This window comes from Homo sapiens, chromosome 13 (assembly GCF_000001405.40).
Source record: "Homo sapiens chromosome 13, GRCh38.p14 Primary Assembly".
Lineage (NCBI taxonomy): Eukaryota > Metazoa > Chordata > Mammalia > Primates > Hominidae > Homo > Homo sapiens.
The window spans coordinates 64,752,875-64,776,527 of record NC_000013.11 but is presented as its reverse complement, the minus strand read 5'-3'; the positions used below and the strand labels follow the sequence as shown (position 1 = coordinate 64,776,527).

The following is a 23,653-nucleotide window of genomic DNA, read 5'->3' as shown; positions in this document are numbered from 1 at the left end:
AACACAAACATACTTATTTACTATTATTTACTATTTTTTGTAGCATCTCTTCGTGTCTGATGCTAGGACTTAAAGTCTGCAGAGCAGGCAGTTGTGAAGAAAAGACAATATAAAGGGGTGGAGAGAACATAATCTCTCAAGGATGGATTTGCACCCATGTCAATGTCTCTCGGATTCCAATTTTTATGATGGTAGGTGTTGGTGCTCTTTGTTGGAGAAACAGGAATGCATCATCACAGAGCTATACACATGACCTGACCCCAAAGTCACAGAAGCTTAAGGAGTTTCCAAAAATGTAGTGGAGCAGTTGCAGACTCTGCTGTGAAATGGAGGTGAGCCTGGAGATGTGTCACAACACGTATGTTCTGTAATAGCACTTGGTGACCATGTACTGACCTTCCAAGTGTGCAAACATCATGGCTGATGCTTCACTTTCACTTCAAATCTTATACAAAACATTTCTGTGGCACCTCCAAATTTTGCTTTAATAAGTTCAAGATAACTTTTAATATGATCATTGGAGTGGTTTGTAATGTGTCAAATTGGATAGGCTGACATCATTACTGAGAATTCCCTTCTCTGTATGTTTCTGATGTTTTGATTATGGCCATTCTTGTATGTTTTCACTCATAAGTGGGAGCTAAGTTACAAGGATGCAAAGGCATAGAATGACACAATGGACTTTGGGGACTGGAGGAAAGGGTGGGAGGTGGGTGAGGAAAGAAGACTACATATTGGGGACCAGGCACGGTGGCTCATGCCTGTAATCCCAGCACTTTGGGAGGCTGAGGCAGGTGGATCATGAGGTCAGGAGTTCGAGACCAGCCTGGCCAACATGGTGAAACTCTGTCTCTACTGAAAAAAAAAAAAAACAAAAATTAGCTGGGCGTGGTGGTGCATGCCTGTAATCCCAGCTACTCGGGAGGCTGAGACAGGAGAATTGCTTGAACCCGGGAGGCGGAGGTTGCAGTGAGCTGAGATCATGCCACTGCACTCCAACCTGGGCGACAGAGTGAGACTCCGTCTCGGAAAAAAAAGAAAAAAAGATTACACATTGGGTACACTGTACACTGCTCAGGTGATGGGTGCACTGAAATCTCAGAAATCACCACTAAAGAACCTATCCGTGTAACCAAATACCACCTGTTCCCCCAAACCCTATCAAAATTAAATAATAACAATTATTTAAAAACATACAGAGAAGGGAATTCTGAGTATTGATGTTAGCCTATGCAATTTGACACTTTACAAACTACTCGAATGCTAATATTAAAAATTATCTTGAATACATTAAAGCAAAATTTTTAGAGCCCTAAGGACATTAAACAAATTGTGACAAACCATTTTGAAGAAATTTCAAATAAGAGGACATATCTGATAGCTAAACTCACCCTGAGAGTTACTCAGCATATTTACCTTTGAGCATAATATTTACTCTGAGCAAGACAAAAGTAAATAATATTTTCTAAATTTTTTCCAATCCTGTAATTTAATCTGCCTATTCCAAGTAAGTAGCTCTAAAATCTGGTCCTTATTTAGTTTGACAATCTGGAACCATGTGGCTCAAATACACATGCTTATAGTCTTCTCTGACTTTTAGTGACCTTGGATATTTAAAATTTTCCTTAATTATCATAGAATTTTTGAAGCTATTATTTACAACACAAACTTTCCTAAAACCAAAAAACCAAACAAAAATATGGTGAGAAGGTGGAACAAGCATTAATATGAAATTTGCGAAACAATTTGCAATGTTCTGCTCTTTATTTTTTATGTCTCAATATATATTCTTCTGATAGCATTATGTCTTTTTTTTTCTATAGCATATGCAAACTTGTTTGAGTATAGAGGTATGTGCTATGCATTGTCATTTACAAGTCATTATTTTTTCCCAGGATTATGAAATTTTTAATTGGCTTAAGAAATATGTGTTACAGGAATGTTTTCACTTCTGAGTAAGCTCTGTTTATTTCAAATTTTAAAAGATATATCTTAATCTAAGTGAACCTCTCCTTTTGTTATATTTTGTCTCATATATTGATAAATGAGTGAATCAAAACCAAGTTTAAATAATTCTTATTAAACTTTATTATTTTATTTAAATTACATATGTATGTAGTTTGCATATAGAAATTAAAATAGTTAAGACTATTTCAAAGTAAAACTCTCAAATATACTCTGCATTTGAAATGTTCAAATTATATTTATTGATTTGCATATGTTGAACCAGCGTTGCATCCCAGGGATGAAGCTGCCTTGATCATGGTGGATAGGTTTTTTGATGTGCTGCTGGATTCGGTTTGCCAGTATTTTACCGAGGATGTTCACATAGATGTTCGTCAGGGATATTGGCCTGAAATTTTCTTTTTTTGTTGTGTCTCTGTCAAGTTTTGGTATCAGGATGATGTTAACCTCATAAAATGAGTTAGGGAGAAGTCCGTCCTTTTCAATTGTTTGAAATAGTTTCAGAAGGAATGGTACCAGCTCCTCTTTGTACCTCTGGTAGAATTTGGCTGTGAATCCATCTGGTTCTGGGTTTTTTATGGTTGGTAGGCTATTAATTACTGCTTCAATTTCAGAACTTGCTATTAGTCTATTCAGGGAGCGGACTTCTTCCTGGTTTAGTCTTGAGAGGATGTATGTGTCCAGGAATTTATCCATTTCTTCTAGATTTTCTAGTTTATTTGCATAGAGGTGCTTATAGTACTCTCTGATGGTAGTTTATATTTCTGTGGGGTCGGTGTGATAACCCCTTTATTATTTGTTATTGTGTCAGTTTGATTCTTCTCTCTTTTCTTCTTTATTAGGCTAGCTGATGGTCTATCTATTTTGTTAATTGTTTTTCAAAAAACAGCTCCTGGGTTCATTGATTTTTTGGAGGCTTTTTCGTGTCTCTATCTCCTTCAGTTCTGCTCTGATCTTAGTTATTTCTTCTGTTAGCTTTCAGATTAGTTTGCTTTTGCTTCTCTAGTTATTTTAATTGTGATGTTAGAGTGTTGATCTGAGATATTTCTAGCTTTGCGATGTGGGCATTTAGTGCTATAAATGTCCCTCTTAACACTATTTTAGCTGTGTCCCAGAGATTCTGGTATATTGTCTCTTTGTTCTCATTGTTTTCAAAGAAGTTCTTGATTTCTGCCTTAATTTCATTATTTACCCGGGAGTCATTCAGAAGGAGGTTGCTCAATTTCCATGTAATTGTGTGGTTTTGAGTGAGTTATTTAATCCTGAGTTCTAATTTATCGCACTGTGGCCTGAGAGACTGTTCTTTGTTATGATTTCAGCTCTTTTGCATTTGCTGAGGATCATCTTAGCCCCAAACTCCTTAAGCTGATAAGCAACTTCAGCAAAGTCTCAGGATACAAAAACAATGTGCAAAAATCACAAGCATTCCTATGTACCAACACTAGACAAGCAGAGAGCCAGATCATTAATGAACTCCCATTTACAATTGCTACAAAGAGAATAAAATACCCAGGAATACAGCTAACAAGCAATGTAAAGGACCTCTTCAAGGAGAACTGCTCAAGGAACTAAGAGAGGACACAATAAATGGAAAAACATTCCATCCTCATGGATAGGAGGAATCAATATTGCAAAAATGGCCATACTGCCCGACGTAATTTATAGATTCAATGCAATTTCCATCAAACTACCATTGACATTCTTCACAGAAATAGAAAAAAACTACCTTAAATTTCATATGAAACCAAAGAAGAAGCTGTATAATCAAGACAATCCTAAGCAAAAAGAACAAAGCTGGAGGCATCATGCTACCTGACTTCAAACTATACTACAAGGCTACAGAAAACAAAGCAGCATAGTACTGGTACCAAAACAGACACATAGATCAATGGAACAGAAGAGAATATCAGAAATAATACCACATATCTACAACCATCTGATCTTTGACAAACCTGACAAAAACAAGCATTGGGAAAAGAATTTCCTATGCAATAAATGGTGCTGGGAAAACTGGCTAGCCGTATGCAGAAAGCTGAAACTGGACCCCTTCCTTACACCTCATACAAAAATTAACTCAAGATGGATTAAAGACTTGAATGTAAAACCCAAAACCATAAAAACCCTAGAAGAAAGCCTAGGGAATACCTTTCAGGTCATAGGCATGGACAAAGACTCCATGACAAAAACGTTGAAAGCAATTGCAACAAAAGCCAAAATTGACAAATGGGATCTAATTAAACTGAACAGCCTCTGCACAGCAAGATAAACTATCATCAGAGTGGACAAGCAACCTACAGAATGGGAGAAAATTTTTACAATCTATCCCTCTGACAAAAGTCTAATATTCAGAATTTGCAAGGAACTTAAACAATTTACAAGAAAAAACAAACAATCCCATCAAAAAGTGGGTGAAGGATATGAACAGACACTTCTCAAAAGAAGACATTTGTGCAGCCAGCAAACATAAAAAAAAAGCTGAACGTTACTGATCATTAGAGAAATGCAAATCAAAACCACAATGAGATACCAACTCACACCTGTCAGAATGGTGATTATTAAAAAGTCAAGAAACAATAGATGCTAGGAAGGCTGTGGAGAAATAGAAACACTTTTACACTGTTGGTGGGAGTGTAAATTAGTTCAACCATTGTGGAAGACAGCGTGGCGATTCTTCAAGGATCTAGAACCAGAAGTACAATTTGACACAGCAGTCTCATTAGTTGGTATATACCCAAAGGAATATAAATCATTCTACCATAAAGACACATGCACACACATGTATATTGCAGCAATATTTACAATAGCAAAGACATGGAACCAACCCAAATGTCCATCAATGATAGACTGGATAAAGAAAATGTGGCCTATATATACCATGAAACACTATGCAGCTGTAAAATGGAATGAGATCATGTCCTTTGCAGGGACATGGATGAAGCTGGAAGCCATCATCCTCAGGAAACTAAGACAGGAACAGAAAAGCAAACACTGCATGTTCTCACTCATAAGTGGGAGTTGAACACTGAGAAGACATGGACACAGGGAGGAGAACAACGCACACTGGGGTCTGTTGGGGTGTGGGGGGCAAGGGGAGGGAACCTAGATGACAGGTCAATAGGTGCAGCAAACCACCATGGCACGTGTATACCTATGTAACAAACTTGCATGTTCTGCACATGTATCCTGGAACTTAAAGTAGAACAAAATTTTTTAAAAGAAATGTCTAAATTGTAAATCACCGTATGAGGCTGATACTGCATTGCTCTAAAGAAATACCTGAGACTGGGGAAATTACTTAAAAAGAAGTTTAATTGCTTCATGGTTCTGCAGGCTGTACAGGAAGCATAGCAGCATCTGTTTCTGTGGAAGCCTCTGGAAGCTTACAATCAAGGTAGATGGTGAAGCAGGAGCTTGCAGGTCAAATGGCAAGAGCAGGAGCAAGAGAACAAGGGGAGGAAGTGCTACACACTCGTAAATGACCAGATCTCGGGAGAACTCACTATCCTGAGGACAGTACCAAGGAAGATTGTGCTAAAGTAAACCATTCATGAGAAATCCATCCTCATGATGCAATCGCCTCCTATCAGGCCCTACCTCCAACATTGGAGATTACATTTCCATGTGAGATTTGGGCGGGAACACACCTTCAAACTATATCAAGCACCAATGGGCAGATTCTTTGATAAAAACAACTAAAAATATAACTAGTGACAGTTTAATGTTTTTAGCCATGTTAATTAAACAAAAAAAGTAGTTTGAATCTAATATTAAAATTAATGTTAACATGCACATGTATTTTTGTTAAATACTATTTAAACATGTTTCAATTTATACATTTTTATTTGTCATGTTAATGTTTTTATTATGCATTATTTGTCAGTCATACTGTATTTTATGAGTGTTATGGTAGATGTTGGAACTGATAGAGCTTTGCTCCATTACAATTTACACCTATAGCCTATCTGTGGCTCAAGGATCATTGATTTAATTGGTTTTAACACTTCCCTTTTATTTTTTCAGAACATGTGCTATCTGATTTTTATTGAATTTGAGAGGTTTATGTACTGAATAATGACACCTAAGTGTGTGCATTAAAAATGTAGAGGAACTAAATTATATGTTAAAATTTTCAACTTTGGGTAATTTTGCTTACTTAAATGATAACACAAAATTTTCTGATTTCTGCAGTGACTAGACTTATATGTTTTTACATTTTGAAAAATCAGAATTTTTTATCACTTATTACAGTCATATATTAAAAAATAAAAAATGCTACCTACAGCATACACATGACTTCCATCTGCATCCCAACAAATAACTATAGGATGCAAATGTAACTCATGTATATCCCACAGGTAGAACTGGAGTGTACTAATAATCATCAAATTCATTATTTTACTTTCTTTTGTAAAACATATTTTAAATTGTTTCTATCTTTTAGTGGCATGCTCAAGAAAGAAAATATATTTTGAAGAAAAAATAATATGAGCTTAGTTTTAGCTTTACCTGAGTAGAACCAACTAGCTTATACTTTACCAAGGTCACTTTTGGGAGAAAAAATAAGTGAGTTTGCCGTAAGTATAGAAAAGCTATTGAAAATTCATACCTTCACGAGATAGGTATTGCACTTTATAACTTCACTGAAATCAAACCAAAATACTTCTCCCATTTTGATGAAAATAATTTTCTCCCAGTAGAAAAGTGACAGGATAAATCTGTTCCATGTGTCAGGAAGGGATTCATGACCTGGCTTCTATTAACAGAAATGGGGTGTCTTGCAGCTATATCTCCATAAGTTGAACTGAAAAATACCTCTGTAAGTAAAGATTCAACCCAAGGGTTAGTTTTTACTGCGAGTTATAAACTTCAAGAAACTGGGTATGTAATGGAAATGCTGACACAACTTTAAAGATAGCTGCTTGAACAGAGCAACCATAATACTCCAACTCCTTTATTTCAGAAAGTGTGAGTGTTTATGTTGCCACTGGATAAAAGAATTGATGGGGAAATTACTCATGCTTGATGAATTGCAAGGTAATAAAAGAAAATCTTGCTAAATAGAGCTTTGGGTAAAATGGAATATGAACTCAATATTCCCTACAAAACCTTTTTACAAGTTTTATGTTTTACTAGCTATGTTCTACAAATCCTGCACTTCGTGTCACTTAAAGCTCTGCATTTCATTTGCAAACACTTCACTGATGAAATAATTTATATAACAATAATGAGACAGTTCACTCTGGACTTTCAGGGAGCAAATACAACAGCAGGAAAAATAGCTTTTAAAAAAAATCATAAAAACAAGTTTTCAAGTTTTATAGTCATTTAAATTTAAGTTTCTAAAAGTGCTTTGACAATCATAGGTGTCCATATAAAAATTTATTAATATTATGCTAAATATCAGTTTACAATTTTAGAATAGAAGAGTTATATATTTTAGAAAACATCCCATATAAGACATTAAAAATTTATAATGTAAAATGTAAAACTTTTTATTTTCTCTTAGAATTTTATTACTTTAAGTAAGAAAATAAAACTTGTTAATAAGACTTTTTTCTTAATTTATGAGTAAGCACAGTACAAGGCTTTTCAGTGTGGTGTTTAAATATCAGAAATGAATTACTTTCTTTACAGGATTATTACTGAGAACCTTTTGGGTAATATGTGTATAGCAAGGCTGTGGGATTGCAACACTCAGTGTTACACAGTAATACTTGTTCTCAAAGATTTTAGTCTAATGGGAAAGAGACATGAAAACATGGAAAGAGATATGATAAGTTCTTTCGTAAGAATATACTTGGGATAATAAGAAACACAGCAAAGAATTAATAACGATATTGGATTTCAGGGTATCAGAAGATGACACATAGATGAGGAAATATTTCTAATACATTTTGAAAGATAAGCAGTAATTCATCAGGTAGATGGAAAAGACATTTTGGGGGGCAAAGGTGAAGAAGAGATAAAGAGGGGAATAACATGAGTTAAAAATAGAATGAGCCATAAGAGCATGTAACCATTGCAAATATATCTATGTAGATGTGTAGAGTGCTTGTTTATAAGGATGAGAGGAAACATTTGAAAGTAGAATGGGGTTCTACCCAGAGGACTTTCAGGCTCTGTGAAGTAATTTTGTATATCTTGCCATATGAGGTAAGAATAATGGTTTAAAAAAGGTCTGGCGTGGGGATTCAGGTCTCCAATCCCAGCACTTTGGGAGGTCAAGTTGGGTGGATGAAACCCCATCTCTACTAAAAATACAAAAATTAGCTGGGCATGGTAGGGCATTGCCTGTAGTCCCAGCTACTGGGGAGGCTGAGGAAGGATAATTTCTTGAACCTGGGATGCAGAGGTTGCATTGAGCTGAGATCATGCCACTGCACTCCAGCCTGGTGACAGAGCAAGACTCCATCTCAAAAAATAAAAAATAAAAATAAATACAAAAATTAGCTGGGCGTGGTGGCAGGTGCCAGTAATCTCAGCTACTTGGGAAGCTGAGGCAGGAGAATCACTTGAACATGGGAGGTGGAGGTTGGAGTGAGCAGAGATCATGCTACTGCAGTCCAGCCTGGGCAACAGAGCAAGATTCCATCTCAAAAAAAAAAAAAAAAAAAAAAAAGAAAGAAAAAAAAGAAAAAGAATAATGGTTTAAAAAAAATAGAACTGAAACAAAGGGAAAAAAATGGCTAAAGCAATCTATATTTTACAAAAATAAGGCCAACTATTTAAGAACTGAACGAAATAGACTCAGATAAAAAGTACTCAAGAGTGGCCACAGCCTAAAGACATGGATTCAGGAAAATGAATAGAAAATGGAATTGATATTTTTAAATGAAAATTTTTAATATATCCTAAAAATAACATTAAGTCTTAAGTGTTTGAAAAACTATAGCCAAGATGAAGAGTTGCTTTTAAATACATAGTTTCAGATTGGAATTCTATTTTGAAATGTATTAATTTATGAGGCAGGTTTCCCTTAGCAATTAATGGTTCTATTATAGGATTTTTACATTAATTAAAAGTGAAGCATATGTAGAATGCTTTGCCTGTAAGAAGTACTCAATAAATGAGCTTCTGTTTTTATTTAATGTAAACACCCACAGTGTTTTCTTTCTCTTTATTTTTTAAGTCCACTAGACAGTAGAGCAATTGCCCTTTTAAAGTGCCTGTCCTAAATGTTGGATTGAGCTGTGACAGATGGAAGCTCAATAGCAGTCATGCAGAATATTTGCCAAATGGGACAGCCATCTGAAGAAGATGGCAGTAATAGAGTTCTTCACTGCAGGACTCAAAGACCTACTGCTACTCATCGATGACTATGGAAAGTGCCTGACGACTCTGTGTCCATAACAATACCAGTAGACATGAAACAATCTTTGCTAAAGATACTAAGGAAAGAGAAGCTGACCTTCAAGTTAAGAAGTTATTTCTCCTCCCTCTTTCTTTGTCCCTTTTTTCTCCCTCATTCCCTTCCTCTTCCTTTATCATTCACAGTGAAATTAAGGAAGACTGAATGAGAAAATTAAAATTTAGCAGAGGAAACATTTCAATGAAAATATAAGGATAACTTTTTTAGCTTCTGAAAAGATAAATGTGTAATTCTGACCTCTTGCTTTTCTAACCCTTTCCAGAATCTTTTTGTTATGCTGCTTTGGAAATAACTTCACTGCTTTTGTAAACTGACAGGATTTCCTGTTGGTCAAATAGTGAGTTAGAACAATAATGTCAAGTAAAGGCTAACTTCTTGTCTCAAAGTTTTAATTTAATATTTAATAATTGAACTTATTTATGGAAAAGAGTAGGACTCTAACCACTGGTGAAAATAAAATAAAAACTTATTGGTACTTTTGGCTTGAAGGTTTGGGAAGTTTTCGTTTGTTTTGTTGTCTTTAAACATTTAACATGTAATAACTTTTAAAGCCATATTATTATTATTGTATATGTGAGTGGAATTTTATTGAGCTTTGTCAATTTCTGTGATGTCTTGAACTTATGGTGTATTAATCATAAAAATATCATTGAGAGTAGACAGAAGTTCTGAGTGTCCTTGGAATTACATAGCAGTGCAATTGTTAAAATTCTCACTGGTGTTGAACTCAAGTGAGATAACTATGATGAGAATTAACTGGCTAGAGTAATATTTTATACATTTGAAAGGTATGAAGGAAATAGTAATTGCAAAGACTATGGAATCATATAGGTGTTGTTGGATACTATTCATGCACAATGGAAAGTCAATTAAAGGCTGACTTAATATTATGTTTGGAAACAAATGGAATTCTTTTGTAGATTACAAAGCTAATCTCATTTCTACATTCAGAGCGCTAAAGAAGTTGAGCATCTAATGTAGACATCAGACTTGAGAGTAGCAGAGCTCCAGTGATGTTAGAATCCTTCACCCAATCCAATATCTTACAAAAAAATCAAGGTCCTGATTATGAAGGAAGAAGACCCTGAGAATTCAGATGAGTTCATTTGAAAATCATCAAGACTCCAGATCCTTCTCAACTCTCTTAGAGGGCTGAAGTGGTTCATTCTTCCCTATTAAAGGCCAGACCCTTCCCTACCCTGGCTTGAACATGATGTGGAGTCATCTGCCTTGAAAGAAAACATAAACTTCCTTGGAATCTATTCCCATTTTCCCTCCTGGTCATAAGATACATAACTAACACAGCCAGGTTGGGGAAATGCCAGTTTTGCTAAGGAAGAAAAGGAACTAAAAGCCAACAAAAGCTACAGAACAAGCCAACATATATGGGCTAGAACCAGGAGACTATGTATAGAAATGAGATCTGAGGATGATGATCAAAGGGGGATGAAACATAAAGTTGGAAATAGGAAAGTCTATTAATATAACATACTCTCCCAGGATTCTTGATTTATTACTCTAATAAAGATCCAGAGAGGAGATGAGATTTGGAAGTCTGGGGAAAGCAATGGCTTCCTCTAAATGATACAGAAATTCTAGAATAGAAAACAATGGAGGAAAGGATCAAAAGGTACAAATAATGTATCATGCTAACTGGATTTACTTTGTAACCTCACAACATCCACTGTGAGACTACTATCCAGGAGAGGACTCAGAGGGCACATTACTTACTGAAGTATCAAGGAATTTCCTAAAGAAAGGGATACCAGCATGGTTAAGAAGCTCAGTAATGAGTGTGTATTTGCAGAAAAAGGCTGATAATAACGGATGTTATTACATAACCGGATTTCCTAATAATAAAAGGAACGGTATCTTGAAGCCACATGGCAGCATTTAAATGTCCGAATTTAGATGGGTTCAATTATCATAACAAGTTATAAGACCACAGTGCAAACTAGGGGGAATCTACTCAAAGAAACCAGACAAGAAACAAAACATGGTGTTGCTTAGGACAAGGTAAATCAGTAGCCAAATAAGTACTGCTTAATTGACAAAATCAAAAGCAATCAAAGATTGATAATTAGCTAGATGAGGGAAGTTGGGTTAACAGGAACTCATTATTTCCTACTCAGCTTGAAAACTTGGACCAGATTTTAGAGGTGGCAAAGGGAGAAGCAAGGTGCCCAGGAGGAAGGACACTGCAACACCACAGTAGGTTCCTGTTGTAATGATTGTCCCAGGTTCTCCCCACTCTCCCACCAAAATATCCATGGCATTTACTCATGTTACCAGACAATGGGAAATAGAAAATTACCAGATATTTTAAGGACTGTTAAAGATAGGTCCTAACTTGACATCAATTCCTGAAGACTGGAAGCATCAGGATAGTCAACTTTTAAAATCAGAACACATAAGAGCAAAATCATAAATGAAATCCTGGCCTACGTCTGGTTTATAGTTGGTCCACTGTATTTAGGTAGCTAATCCTTGGTGATTTTTCAGAACTTGAATTGGATTATTCTATTATAGCTTTTTAATAGTTTTGAAAGAAAATTTCCCATCAGTCTCCCACATTACTGCATGTATTGAGAGCAGAGGGATTGGTTGCTTTGTTCTGTGATAACTTTTCAAGGATAATTGTACAAGCAAATACGTTTTGCTGAATGAGATACTGCCTCATTTTGAAGTATAGGACCAGTTTGTTTATTGCCTAATTTAATAAAGAAAATGTCTCCACTCAGGGCAAGCAAAGGTATGCAAACTACTCAGTATCAGAAATATGTGTTCTTCCAAGCTTGATGTTCCTCTACTGTGAAACAAGCCCATTGCATGTGTTGAGCCCACTTAGACCACTCTGCATTGCCCCTGTAGGACTTGGAGAGCAGGGAACTTGTGTAAACATTGAAGCTCATTCTGTTTGCTCTACTGTGTATAATCGAGTTATTTGCCTCTGAGGCACAAGCCTTGCATCCTCTGTGTTAGCTTGCATGTAGGGTAAAAGCTCAGTTTATTTGCAGTTCTTGACAGGTAGCAGCAATTTCATAACAGTTTACTTACCTGTGTGGTCATAGCCATTATGATTGTGAAGGCAAAATGGAAATCTCTGAGTCTGCCCCTCTTTGCCAGCCAGGAGAAACAACCAAATTTTTATCACACCCAGAAGGAAATGACCCCTTAAAGATGAGGCTAGTGATCCCCATTATATCTCTATTTAATTAACCAGTTGGACCCCTTAAAAAAAAAGGTGGATCCAAAGAAAAAAGAGTTTACTATCACAAACTCATCCAAATTTTAGCCCATATGGCATGCAGGTACCATAACAGATGTGTTTCTGCTAGAACAGATTAACATAGCCTCAAGTACATCATAAGTTGCCATTGATCTAGCAAATGCAAGATCAAAAAATGAAGACATTTTTTAATATCTGCATATTCTTTAGCCGAGCACATTGATTTATAATGTTGATGACATCTTGTTATTTAGAGACAAATCAGTCACTTGTTGGTAAGCTGATTACGTTAGACCCCTAACAACCTGGAAAGGGTTAAAATCCATCTTGCATGAAATTGGTGAACATTTTTTACTTTGCCTTCCTGCTCACCAGCCTCACATGTACTACCTCAAGTCCTAACAGAATATCTGATCTACTCATAGCAATGCCTCATAACAATGCCTCCGATCAAAGGAAACATTTACAACAGAGATGTGGCCACGGATACACAATGATGGAATGCACTACTCATCAAATATTGCAACTTCAAAGCTATTGATCTGACAAAGCAGGGGAAGGGAATGGCCTCTTAACACAACAGCTGAGATGCAAGTCAGGAATTGGTATTTCGGGAGGGTGTCATCCTCCAGGATAAATCACCAACATTTAGATGGTCCTTTTTTCCCAAAGTAGAAACCAGGAAGGGTAAATAGATGTAGAGTTGTTTTCTGTCCTTCCAGTGACCCACTGGCAGTACTTTTCATTCCTGTAACTTAGGCTCTGTAGGTATAGAGGCGCTCATTCCCAAAGGGAGAGGGTGGGACACTTTTGCTACAGGATACAATAATAGTCCCACTGAACTTTAAGCTATGGCCGCTGTATTAGTCTGTTCTCATGCTGCTAATAAACACATACCCAAGACTGGGTAAATTATAAAGCAAAGAGTTTTAATGTACTCATAGTTCTATGTGGCTAGGAAGGCCTCACAATCATGGAGGAAGAGCAATGGACGTCTTACATGGCAGCAGTCAAGAGAGAGCTTGCTCAGGTGAACTCCCTTTATAAAAACGATCAGACCTCATAAGACTTATGTACTATCATGAGAACAGCATGGGAAAGACCTGCCCTGTGATTCAATTACCTCGCACCAGGTCCCTCCCATGTCACATGGGAATTATGGGAGCTATAATTCAAGATAGGATTTTGGTAGGGACACAGCCAAACCATATCATTCCACCCCAATCCATCCTAAATCTCATGTCATCACATTTTAAAACCAATCTTGACTTCCCAAGAGTCCTGAAAGTCTTAATTTATTTCAGCATTAACTCAAAAGTCCACTGTCCCAAAGTTTCATCTGAGACAAGGCAAGAAACCTGTAAAATCATAAACAAGTTAATTACTTCTTAGATACAGTGGGGGTACAGGCATTGGGTAAATACACCTATTCCAAATGGAAGAAATTGGCCAAAATTGAGGGGCTACAGGTCCCATGCAAGTCCAAAAACTAGTGGGACAGTCAAATATTAAAACTCCAAAATGATCTCCTTTGACTTCATGTCTCTCATCTTGGCCATGCTTGATGTAAGAGGTGGGTTCCCATGGTCTTGGGCAGTTGCCATATGGCCATTTCTAGTACCATGTAACCAGAGACCTGCAAGTAAAAGCATCAACATACTGACAAGATAATCAGCCTAATCATCAGTGAGTGGCAGGGTTATTATTAGAAAATGCCTGCAAGAGGCCAGGCCCCGTGGCTCATGTCTGTAATCCTAGCACTTTGGGAGGCTGAGGCGGGCGGATCACGAGGTCAGGAGATCAAGACCATACTGGCCAACATGGTGAAATCCCAACTCTATTAAAATACAAAAAAACAACTCAGCCGGGTGTGGTGGTGTGCACCTGCAGTCCCAGCTACTTGAGAGACTGAGGCAGGAGAATTGCTTGAACCCAGGAGGCAGAGGTTACAGTGAATCCAGGTTGCACCACTGCACTCCAGCCTGGCAACAAAGTGAGACTTGGTCTCAAAAACGAAAACAAAAGAAAAGAAAATGCCTGCAAGAAAGAATAAGTTTGGCCTTTTCTTTAATTCATTGAGACATCTCATGGTTCCTATTGTATTAAATTTTTAATCTTAAATGGATAAGTGTATCAGCCACAGACTAAAGAGGTCATTATTAATAGACAAAAGAGAACTTCACCTCCCAGGTAAGCCATCTAAATCAACAAAGATGCCATCCAGTGTGAGAAGAAGGTTGAAACAATAGTTATCCTTGAGAACAATGCAGTGGAGAGAGAGAAGATGTAAATCATCCCACTAATATGCACATTATTCATTTCCCCAGGATATGAGACAAAATGGAATCTTAGAGAATCTGAACCAGGTGAGGGTGAGCTTGCTACTAGAAACATGTGAATCAAAATGAGACAAAGTGGGTACTGTAGTGGGAACCATGATGCTTCCTGCTTTATGATAAAGCCCTCATTCACACAGCTAGTATTGGCTGCTGACAACTCACAGCTCAGTCTTTCTCCTGGAATTTTCTTGTTCGAAGGTCACCTGCATTTAAAGCATGATTGATACTAGGATACAGAGGCCCAGACCTCTTGTCTTTGTTTTGGACAGCTCAGCCTTTGGGATCCGCTGAAGCCTTTGCAGTACATTTTAACTTCAATCTCTGCCAAGTCCTGCCTCCCTCACTTACAATTTTTCCCAAATGCACAACCCTAAATTTGCTATGTATAAATATTTAATTCAGAAAATTTCTTCCAGGGACCCCAGCCTCAAATGTTCCCCAACTTAACATCAACTAAGGAGTTACATACTTATATTCATGTAGATAGCAAGCATTCCTAAAGGCAATTCATGCACTTTATAAAATATTGCTTTGTATATTTTATCCCTGAATGAACAGGCAGGAAAAAGAATTTAAAAAAGGGACTCATAAAATAATACTACAGAACTATGAGAATGAGAAAACATACAAAGATTCAGAAGATAATATTAATGAAGTTATTTGTAATCAAAACCATATGACATTTTAGAAAGTTGCTTGGCTTATTGTAAAAAGCATGCATTTATTTTAATTCAAAAGGAAAATTCAATAAAATATACAGATTAAAGATCAAAGAAATATTTTTTTCATCTTCCATGGCTTGCAAAAATAATAAGACTTCTATAGAAAAAAGCATCACAAAGCTAGTTATATCTGGATAATCTCATCTTTTCTTGAAACTTCAACACATGCTTATCTTGATGAGCATCAAATCAATTTATCTTGCCTACACCTCCACCTGAGCTTCAAAATTTGATACACAATTTTTTACCTTATATCTCTATTTAGATATCCAGTAGGCATCTCAAAATCAATATTTACAAAACCAAATTATTTCTTCATCATTATTTTTGCCTCCCCCTCATTTCTAAACTGCATTTCTTCTCTTTAAATTTTATATTGGTTGATACCAAAACATAGAGCTGCTGTCAAAGTTTGAATCTTATTCTTGACTTTGGGCTCTTTCTCATTTTCCACATCTTATTATTCTTCAAGTCCAGCCAATTGGACCTCATTAATGTTTCTCTTTCCTTCTCTTTTTTACACTATGAGGCAGTATAGCCTCTTATTATCTTTAAACTAAACTTCTGTAATAGCATCCTTAGTTGGATCCTTGCTTCTCATTCTTCATCCACCATAAATCTTTTACATAAATAGCACCAGCATGAGATTTTACCTTGATGAAATTGTTTAATGACCCTCTGTTGCCTGTAGAATTAACAAACTCCTTAGTATGCCACACATAATCCTTTATTATCTAGCGCCTGACTACTGTTTCATCCCCATTTCTCACAACTCTCTTATGTGGTATTATTTACAGTTCATGCTTGGAATCATACAACAACTTTTCCATCTGGCTTCAAAATTCAACTCAGGCATTCTCTAATCCACCAGACACAAAACCTGTAAACGTACCAAAAATCAATGTTTGCATCTATTTTTTCTCCTTCATTCTTATAACATTGAAAGCAGTTCCTCCTCCAACAAACCTCAACACCTTTATATGCTGTATGGATTTTATTCATTTTGAAGATAATCCATTCAAATATCAACAGAAAATGATAAATTACATTATTTTAAAGTGTTTCAGGCGACAGAAAGCTGGCTCCCTAAAAGTCTCTGATATCTTCTATTTTAGTCCAAACTGTTTTCTGAAACTCAAATCATAAAATCATAATAACGTTCTCCCAAAGTTATCCTGATTGACTTATTTTCTTGATGTGAGGTAAATAAAAAAGAGTGTCCATGGGATTCAGATAAAAAATGAAGGGTCTGCTGTGTCTTGGTGCTACATGTTGCGATTTGCAAGTTCAAGTCACCAAACTGAATTGCAAACAATATATGTTTAATAAATCATGTGATTTTTAATGTTATATTATCTAAAACTTACAACATATGTTTAAGAATTGTTTTTATAAACTCCTCTCAGAATACTGTTAAAGCAAGACTCATTTCATGCTTTGGAAACATTGTAAATTATTTCTGATGAAAACCATGCTGACTGTCTGCCATATCAATATGCTAGATTATTTTCCATTATACTTCTAGTTTTCCCATCTTCTCAGTAAATCTACAAGTAACAGAATACTCAATGAAAAGATTCTATTTGCATCATCTGTACTCAATACATATGACATTCTGATAAAATATCATAGACTGAACGTAGAAATTGAAAAGTATATGTAGAACGTGTTTCAAAACCCTTGAACTCTTCACCTAATTCAGTAATATAAAGTATAAAAAAGGTGGAGCTCCAGGAAGAGAATTGTAAAGCAATTTTTTGAGAGAGAGCTGCTATTACCCCACCCTGCATTCCACCACCAAGGGACAAAGAGAAGACATTGATAGGAAGAAAAAAAGAGTTTGAATCATTTCTCATAGAACTTGGCAGAGCCAAGAACATAGTTTTGACCCATCCCAGGAAGTCTGAAGGCTAGGGGTAACACATGGAGATGAGCTGCTTGGGCAGCATGGCAAAGATGGGTCACTGTTATGTCTGGAACACAGGAGTACTTCTTTTTGAATGGAGCCCCACATTTTTGAGCATGTTTTCTCTGAATCAAATGTAGACCTCATAATACAATATCCCTTTTTGAGGCCAATTTAAGTTCAGCACAAAAGCAACACATGGAAAAAGCAATAGAACTCCAAGTGTGGAGTCAATGTGGAGAGAAAACCAAGAAATGAATGGGAAGCTGCTTGCAAATGAGATGCACTGCCAGGAATTTGGGCTGGGGATTACACAAGAGAAAATAAGCTATTAGCATGACTATGCCCAGAGAAAAAGGTTCCATCCTATGAATATTTAAGAATTTCCAGCCCTCACTTGGCTCTCTTTCCCACACTAAACTTCCAAGAATTCCAGGTGATGGAGAGGAAATATTTGACATTAAGTTAACTTCACAATTTTGATTATTTACTGCAATTAGAATCTATAATTACTGAGTTCAGACTGTGTTTGAAATTTTAAAAGATCTTAGGAATTTCCATTTTGTAAGAATGACCAGAAGTAATAAAACTGTCAGAGGCATTTGAAACAGAGCAACTCCATCTTGAATAGGAGCTTGGTAAAATAAGGCTGAGACGTACTGGGTTGCATTTCCAGGAGTTTAGGCATTCTAAGTGTGAAGAGATGGAAGGATGGCACGAGGTATGGTCACAAAGACCTTGCTGATAAAACAGCATGTGGTATAGAAGCTGGCCCCAAACCACCAAAACCAAGAGGGCTATGAAAGTGACCTCTGGTCGTCCTTATAAACTAATTATAAGGCATTAGCAAAAGACACTCCCACCAGCACCATGACAGTTTGCAAATGTCATGGCAATGTCAGTAAATTATTCTGTATGGTCTGAAAAGGGGTGAAACCCTCAGTCCTGGGAATTGCCCACCCCTTTTCCGGAAAACTCATGGATAATCCACCCCTTGTTTAGCATATAATCAAGAAATAACCATAAAAATAGCCAACCAGCAGCCCTCAGGGCTACTCGTGCTTATGAAGTAGCCATTCTTTACTCCTTTACTTTTCTAATAAACTTCCTTTCACTTTACTCTATGGACTCGCCCTGAATTCTTCCTTGCCTGAGATCCAAGAACCCTCTCTTGGGGTCTGGATTGGTATCCCTTTCTGGTAACAAAACCTGTCTAAATTTTCATCTAAGAGCAGAGAAAAATTACCTGAATAAATACAAATGGGAGGCTAAAATAAAGTTTTGTTTACAATATTGCCCTGGAGTCATGCTTATTGAGCCTATCAATCAAAACCTTGATGATTTTTCCCTGCTGTCTTCTCTAACTTGAATCTCCCCAAATCTTTGGCACCATCCTATTACTATCAGCAATTCACATAATTTAATATCCTTCATGTTGAAAATAAGATGAAATATAATACCAAATAAAATCTTTGGACCTTTTGAAAGAGGCTTTGCAAACATTATAAGTGAGAAAATTATTACAGTGTCAGAAATCTGACCTAACTGACCCCATCTTGCTTCTAACCTCCAGTCTGTCCTTGTTCATTCCTGAGCACAGGCCAAACTAATTTTGGGAGGAAGTTAGTTTATAGTTTAATTTTATTTTACTTTATTTTTTAGCTTTTATTTTAGGTTCTGGAGTATATGTGAAGGTTAGGTAGGTAGGTAAACTCGTGTCACTGGGGTTTGTGTTACAGAATATTTCATCACCCATGTATTAAGCCCAGTACCCAATAGTTATCTTTTCTGCTCCTCCTAACCTCCATTCTCAAGAAGACTCCAGTGTCTATTGTTTCTTTCTTTATATTCATAAGTTCTTATCATTAAGCTCACCCTTATAAATGAGAACATGCGTTAACAGATAACATAAAGAATGGAAGAAATATTTGTAAACTATGCATCTGACAAAGGTCTAATATCCAGCATCTATAAGGAACTTGAACACATTTACAAGGGAAAAACAAACAACTCTATTAAAACATGGATGTACATGAGGCCAACAAGCATGTGGAAAAAAAAGAAAAAAAACCTCAATATCACTGATTGCTAGAGAAATGCAAATCAAAACCACAATGATGTCAGTTGGAATAGCTATTACTAAAAAGTCAAAAATTTACAGAGGCTGACGACATTGTGGAGAAAAGGGAACACCTGTACATTGTTGATGAGAGTGTAAATTAGTTCAACCATTGTGGAAGGCAGTATAGTAATTCCTCAAAGACCAAAAGCAGAACTACCATTCAACCCAGCAATCCCATTACTGGGTATGTACCCAAAGGAATATGAATCATTATATGATAAAGGCACATGCATACAAATGTTCATTGCAGCACTATTCACAATAGCAAAGTCATGGAATCAACCTAAATGCCCAACAATGACAGATTGGATAAAGAAAATATGCTACATATACCATGAAATACTATGAAATACTACATATACATATACATATACATATACACCATGAAATACTATGCAGCCAAAAAACAAATGAGATCATGTCTTTTGTGGGAACGTGGTTGGAGCTGGAGGCTATTATCCTTGGCAAACTAACGCAAAAACAGAAAACCAAATATAGTTTAACTTTGAAACAAAGACAATAACAGCACTTCACTGAAATAAGACCCCTTCCTGGCTGGGGACTAGACTGCCTTTACAGGACTAACAAATTAGCTGCAAGATTAGAAATTATGGTTTAAGAGTCATGCAGCTGAAGGCTGCAAGATTCCAAACCTCCCAGTCCTAAGGATAACATCACTATTGTAAAAGCTAAGATTAATGCTTGAGATATTTTTTAGACCTTCCACTTGATGGATCAGCTGGCAGAACCCAGATAGATAAACTGGCTTATCTGGTCTTGTGGCTCCCACCCAGGAACTGACTCAGTGCAAGAGGATAGTATCAACTCCCTATGGTTTCATCTCCAACCAGACTAATCAGCACTCCCCACTTTCTGATCCCCTACGTGATCCCCACGTTTTCGGGAAGACTGATTTGAGTAATAATAAAACTCCACCCTCCTGTACAGTTGGCTTTGCATACATTACACTCTTTCTCCATTGCAATTTGCCTGTCTTGATAAACCAGCTCAGTCTAGGCAGTGGGTAAGAACCTGTCGAGTGGTTATACTTTCATTCATATATATCTACTGCTTGATTCATATATATCTACTACTTGATACTATATATCAAGTCTCCTCTTCAAAGAGGCATCGACATTCAGTGCTTCCACTTCCTCACCTTCCTCTACCACTCTTGTCAACACCAGACTTGCATATGTGTAATTTTTACTTGCATATTTAACATGCAACTTAATCTCAACATCTCAAAAATGAATTACTGATTTTAGCTTTCAAACCTGCCCCACTACTGCTTTCCGTATTTTAGAGATGACAACTACTCTCTCCAATTGCTCAGGTCAAAAATGTTGATTGCATTTTGGTCCTCTTTCTTTGTCTCATATTCTGTATCTAATCCATCAGCTAATTCTATTTTCTTTACCAAAATACATCTAGAACTCTGCCATTTTTTTGTCAGTTCTATTGTAAAGACTCAGATGTGAAACACAATTTCTTTTGTCTGGATTAAGTAGTTTTCTAACTCAGGGGATTGGAAATGTTTTCTCTAAAGGGTCAGATATTTTACACATTTTTATTAAATATTTTACTAATACATTTACTAATTTACTAATATATTTAATAATACATTTTCTAACATTGTATTAGTATAGTTAGTAAAAATTTTTCACATTGAGGGACAAGAGGCAAAAACCAGGATATGATGTAGGTACGTATAGAACAAGAGAGAAAACATTTTTATTGACAAAATTCAAATGTAATAATACTAATTGAACACAATTCTTTAAATAACATATGCCTAATAACGACAGAACTGGAATCTATTCCTGTATTTCTTATCATCAAGCTGATTGTCAATTTTACCTGAAAAAAAATGTTTTCATTGAATGCCTTACAAAAATAGGCAGTGGGCTAGACTGTGAAACGTATACTAGTTTTCTAGCTTCTACCCTTATACCTCCAGCATCATTTCACTACAGAACAGCTAGAGCAATCATTTTTAAAACACAAATCAAATGATGCTATTCCACTAAATCCATCTTTCTCAAGGTAAAAGCCAAATTGCTGACAATGGCCTGCAAGGTTCTAAATGATTCGGCATTCCTATTTATTGATTGTCTTTATCTATTTCTAGTCTTCTGTTATAGGTTTCAATCAGCCACACGGTCTTTCACTGTGAATCTTTTGCACTGGCTCTTTTCTCTGGCTGGAACTTTTTTTCTCCAATTACACACATGTGACTGACTTTCTGTCCTCCATCAATGAGCCTCCTTCTTTGATTTTCTCCTCAAATGCCTCCTTAATGATTCCTGTCTTACTAACTAACCTCTTTAAAATAGCAGTCTGCCAACTCTTCCCCTTACACTCCTGGTCCTACTTTCCCAGCTCCACTTTTAATTTTACTTTTTCTTTTGTTTTTGTCACCTTCTAATATACTCAGTGACTAATTTAATATGTTATTTTTTTTTCTCATTTGTTTTCATGAGGTGATAAAGGCTCTTCATTAGTTTTCTTCACTGATGTTTCCCAGGTACTTAGAACAGTGCCTGGCACATGGCAGTTGGTCAATAAATATTTATTGAATGAAAAAATGTTTATATTATTCTATTTGTTCAGGCTTCTTTCCATAGCATCAAAACTACTCTCATTGAGACCATCAATTAACTTTCATAAAGTCAATTTATTCCTTCTCTTAGAAAATCAATTTTAGAAATAGTCTGGATCACTGGTTTTATAACTTCCTTACTCTCCAAGTTTTTTTTTTAATCTAATTTCCTCCAATCTCTGAGCATATATCTCTGAAGCATAAGCATTAATTTTTTCTAAATTATATACAGATAAATATATAGACATGTATATTTATATATCTTTGTCTATTTTTATCCGTGTATACATTTTATATATGTGTATATCTCCCTTATCATAGGACCCTGAATCATCTCTCTCCTGACTAACTCATACCCTCCTCTCATGTTTTTGCTTCTTCAGCACCATGCTGCAGTCATACTTTCAAACACTGGCTATTGATTCAATAAATATTTTCCATCCTGAAAAACAGCTCTCCAAAGAATTGTTCTACATCTGGCTTTTAGCTGAGTCTTCAACAAGTAATTTCACTATTACATCAGGCTGACTGTTTCTGAATGATGATGCATTTCATAATATCAGGGCACCACATGGTTATTTTGTAAAGGCTTTCAAATTAGTTTTAAAAAGCCATACCACTTTTCCCCATATTTATAATTAGTCTTTCCCTCATATTGATGAAGTACCACAACCTTTGCAAAAGCCAACACTTCAGCTTTCACCTGCACCCTTCCCAATGAGGCACAAGTGACAGTGTGCATAATTATGCCATATTGCTGCATGCCAGAGTTATTGCTTCTGCAAAGGATTATTATTGCTTTTTGACTGTTGAATAATACAGCTCCATAGTCCCATCCCAAGTGTTTACTATTTAAATGTATTTATGGTACTCATTATCTTAGCCTGGGTTTTTCTCCTGAACAGTGGCTATGATAAAAATTTATGTATGAATAGTCTATTTGCAAATGTTATCCCAGAGAACTGGCATGGAGCAGGCTGGGGAATGGAGAAAATAAAAATATTTATACATCAGCTTCTGTTTCCCATCGGGCAAGAGTCACCCACTGTTGCTCACTGTGCCTTAAATCCCCTTCACTTCTTAGCTCTGTATATATGAGGGACAAGCATGTTTGCATAGCTGAACTGACAAGAAGACAAGAAAGTTGTGCCGGCAAGATAATCAGGTTGTGAAGACACAGCTGCTGTTCAGAGCTTGTGAGGGACTAGATACTACTCAGTGGCTGCAATGGGACAGGGCCTAGAGGATATAACGTTGTATGTAAAAGAGAACCGATGCACTGCTTATTAAAATCTCCATTACCTAATTAAGGGTTTTTTGTTTGTTTGTTTTGAGACGGAGTCTCGTCCTGTCACCCAGGCTGGAGTGCAATGGCAATGGCATGATCTCGGCCCACTGC

At 36.4% G+C, this 23,653-nt stretch overlaps 1 long non-coding RNA gene across 1 annotated transcript in view, besides 1 other annotated feature; it reads right to left on the bottom strand.

The window, feature by feature from the left end:
- LOC105370240 (uncharacterized) overlaps positions 1–23,653 on the bottom strand; it is a 59,720-nt gene that overhangs the window by 21,207 nt on the left and 14,860 nt on the right. The gene's annotated exons all lie outside the window — the stretch shown is intronic.
- Positions 17,657–17,951: a silencer, noted in NCBI's record as "tiled region #870; HepG2 Repressive non-DNase unmatched - State 24:Quies, and K562 Repressive non-DNase unmatched - State 24:Quies". NCBI's record gives its function as "represses a minimal TATA promoter and a strong SV40 promoter by Sharpr-MPRA in HepG2 and K562 cells {active_cell/tissue: HepG2 | K562}" and the evidence as "EXISTENCE:reporter gene assay evidence [ECO:0000049][PMID:27701403]".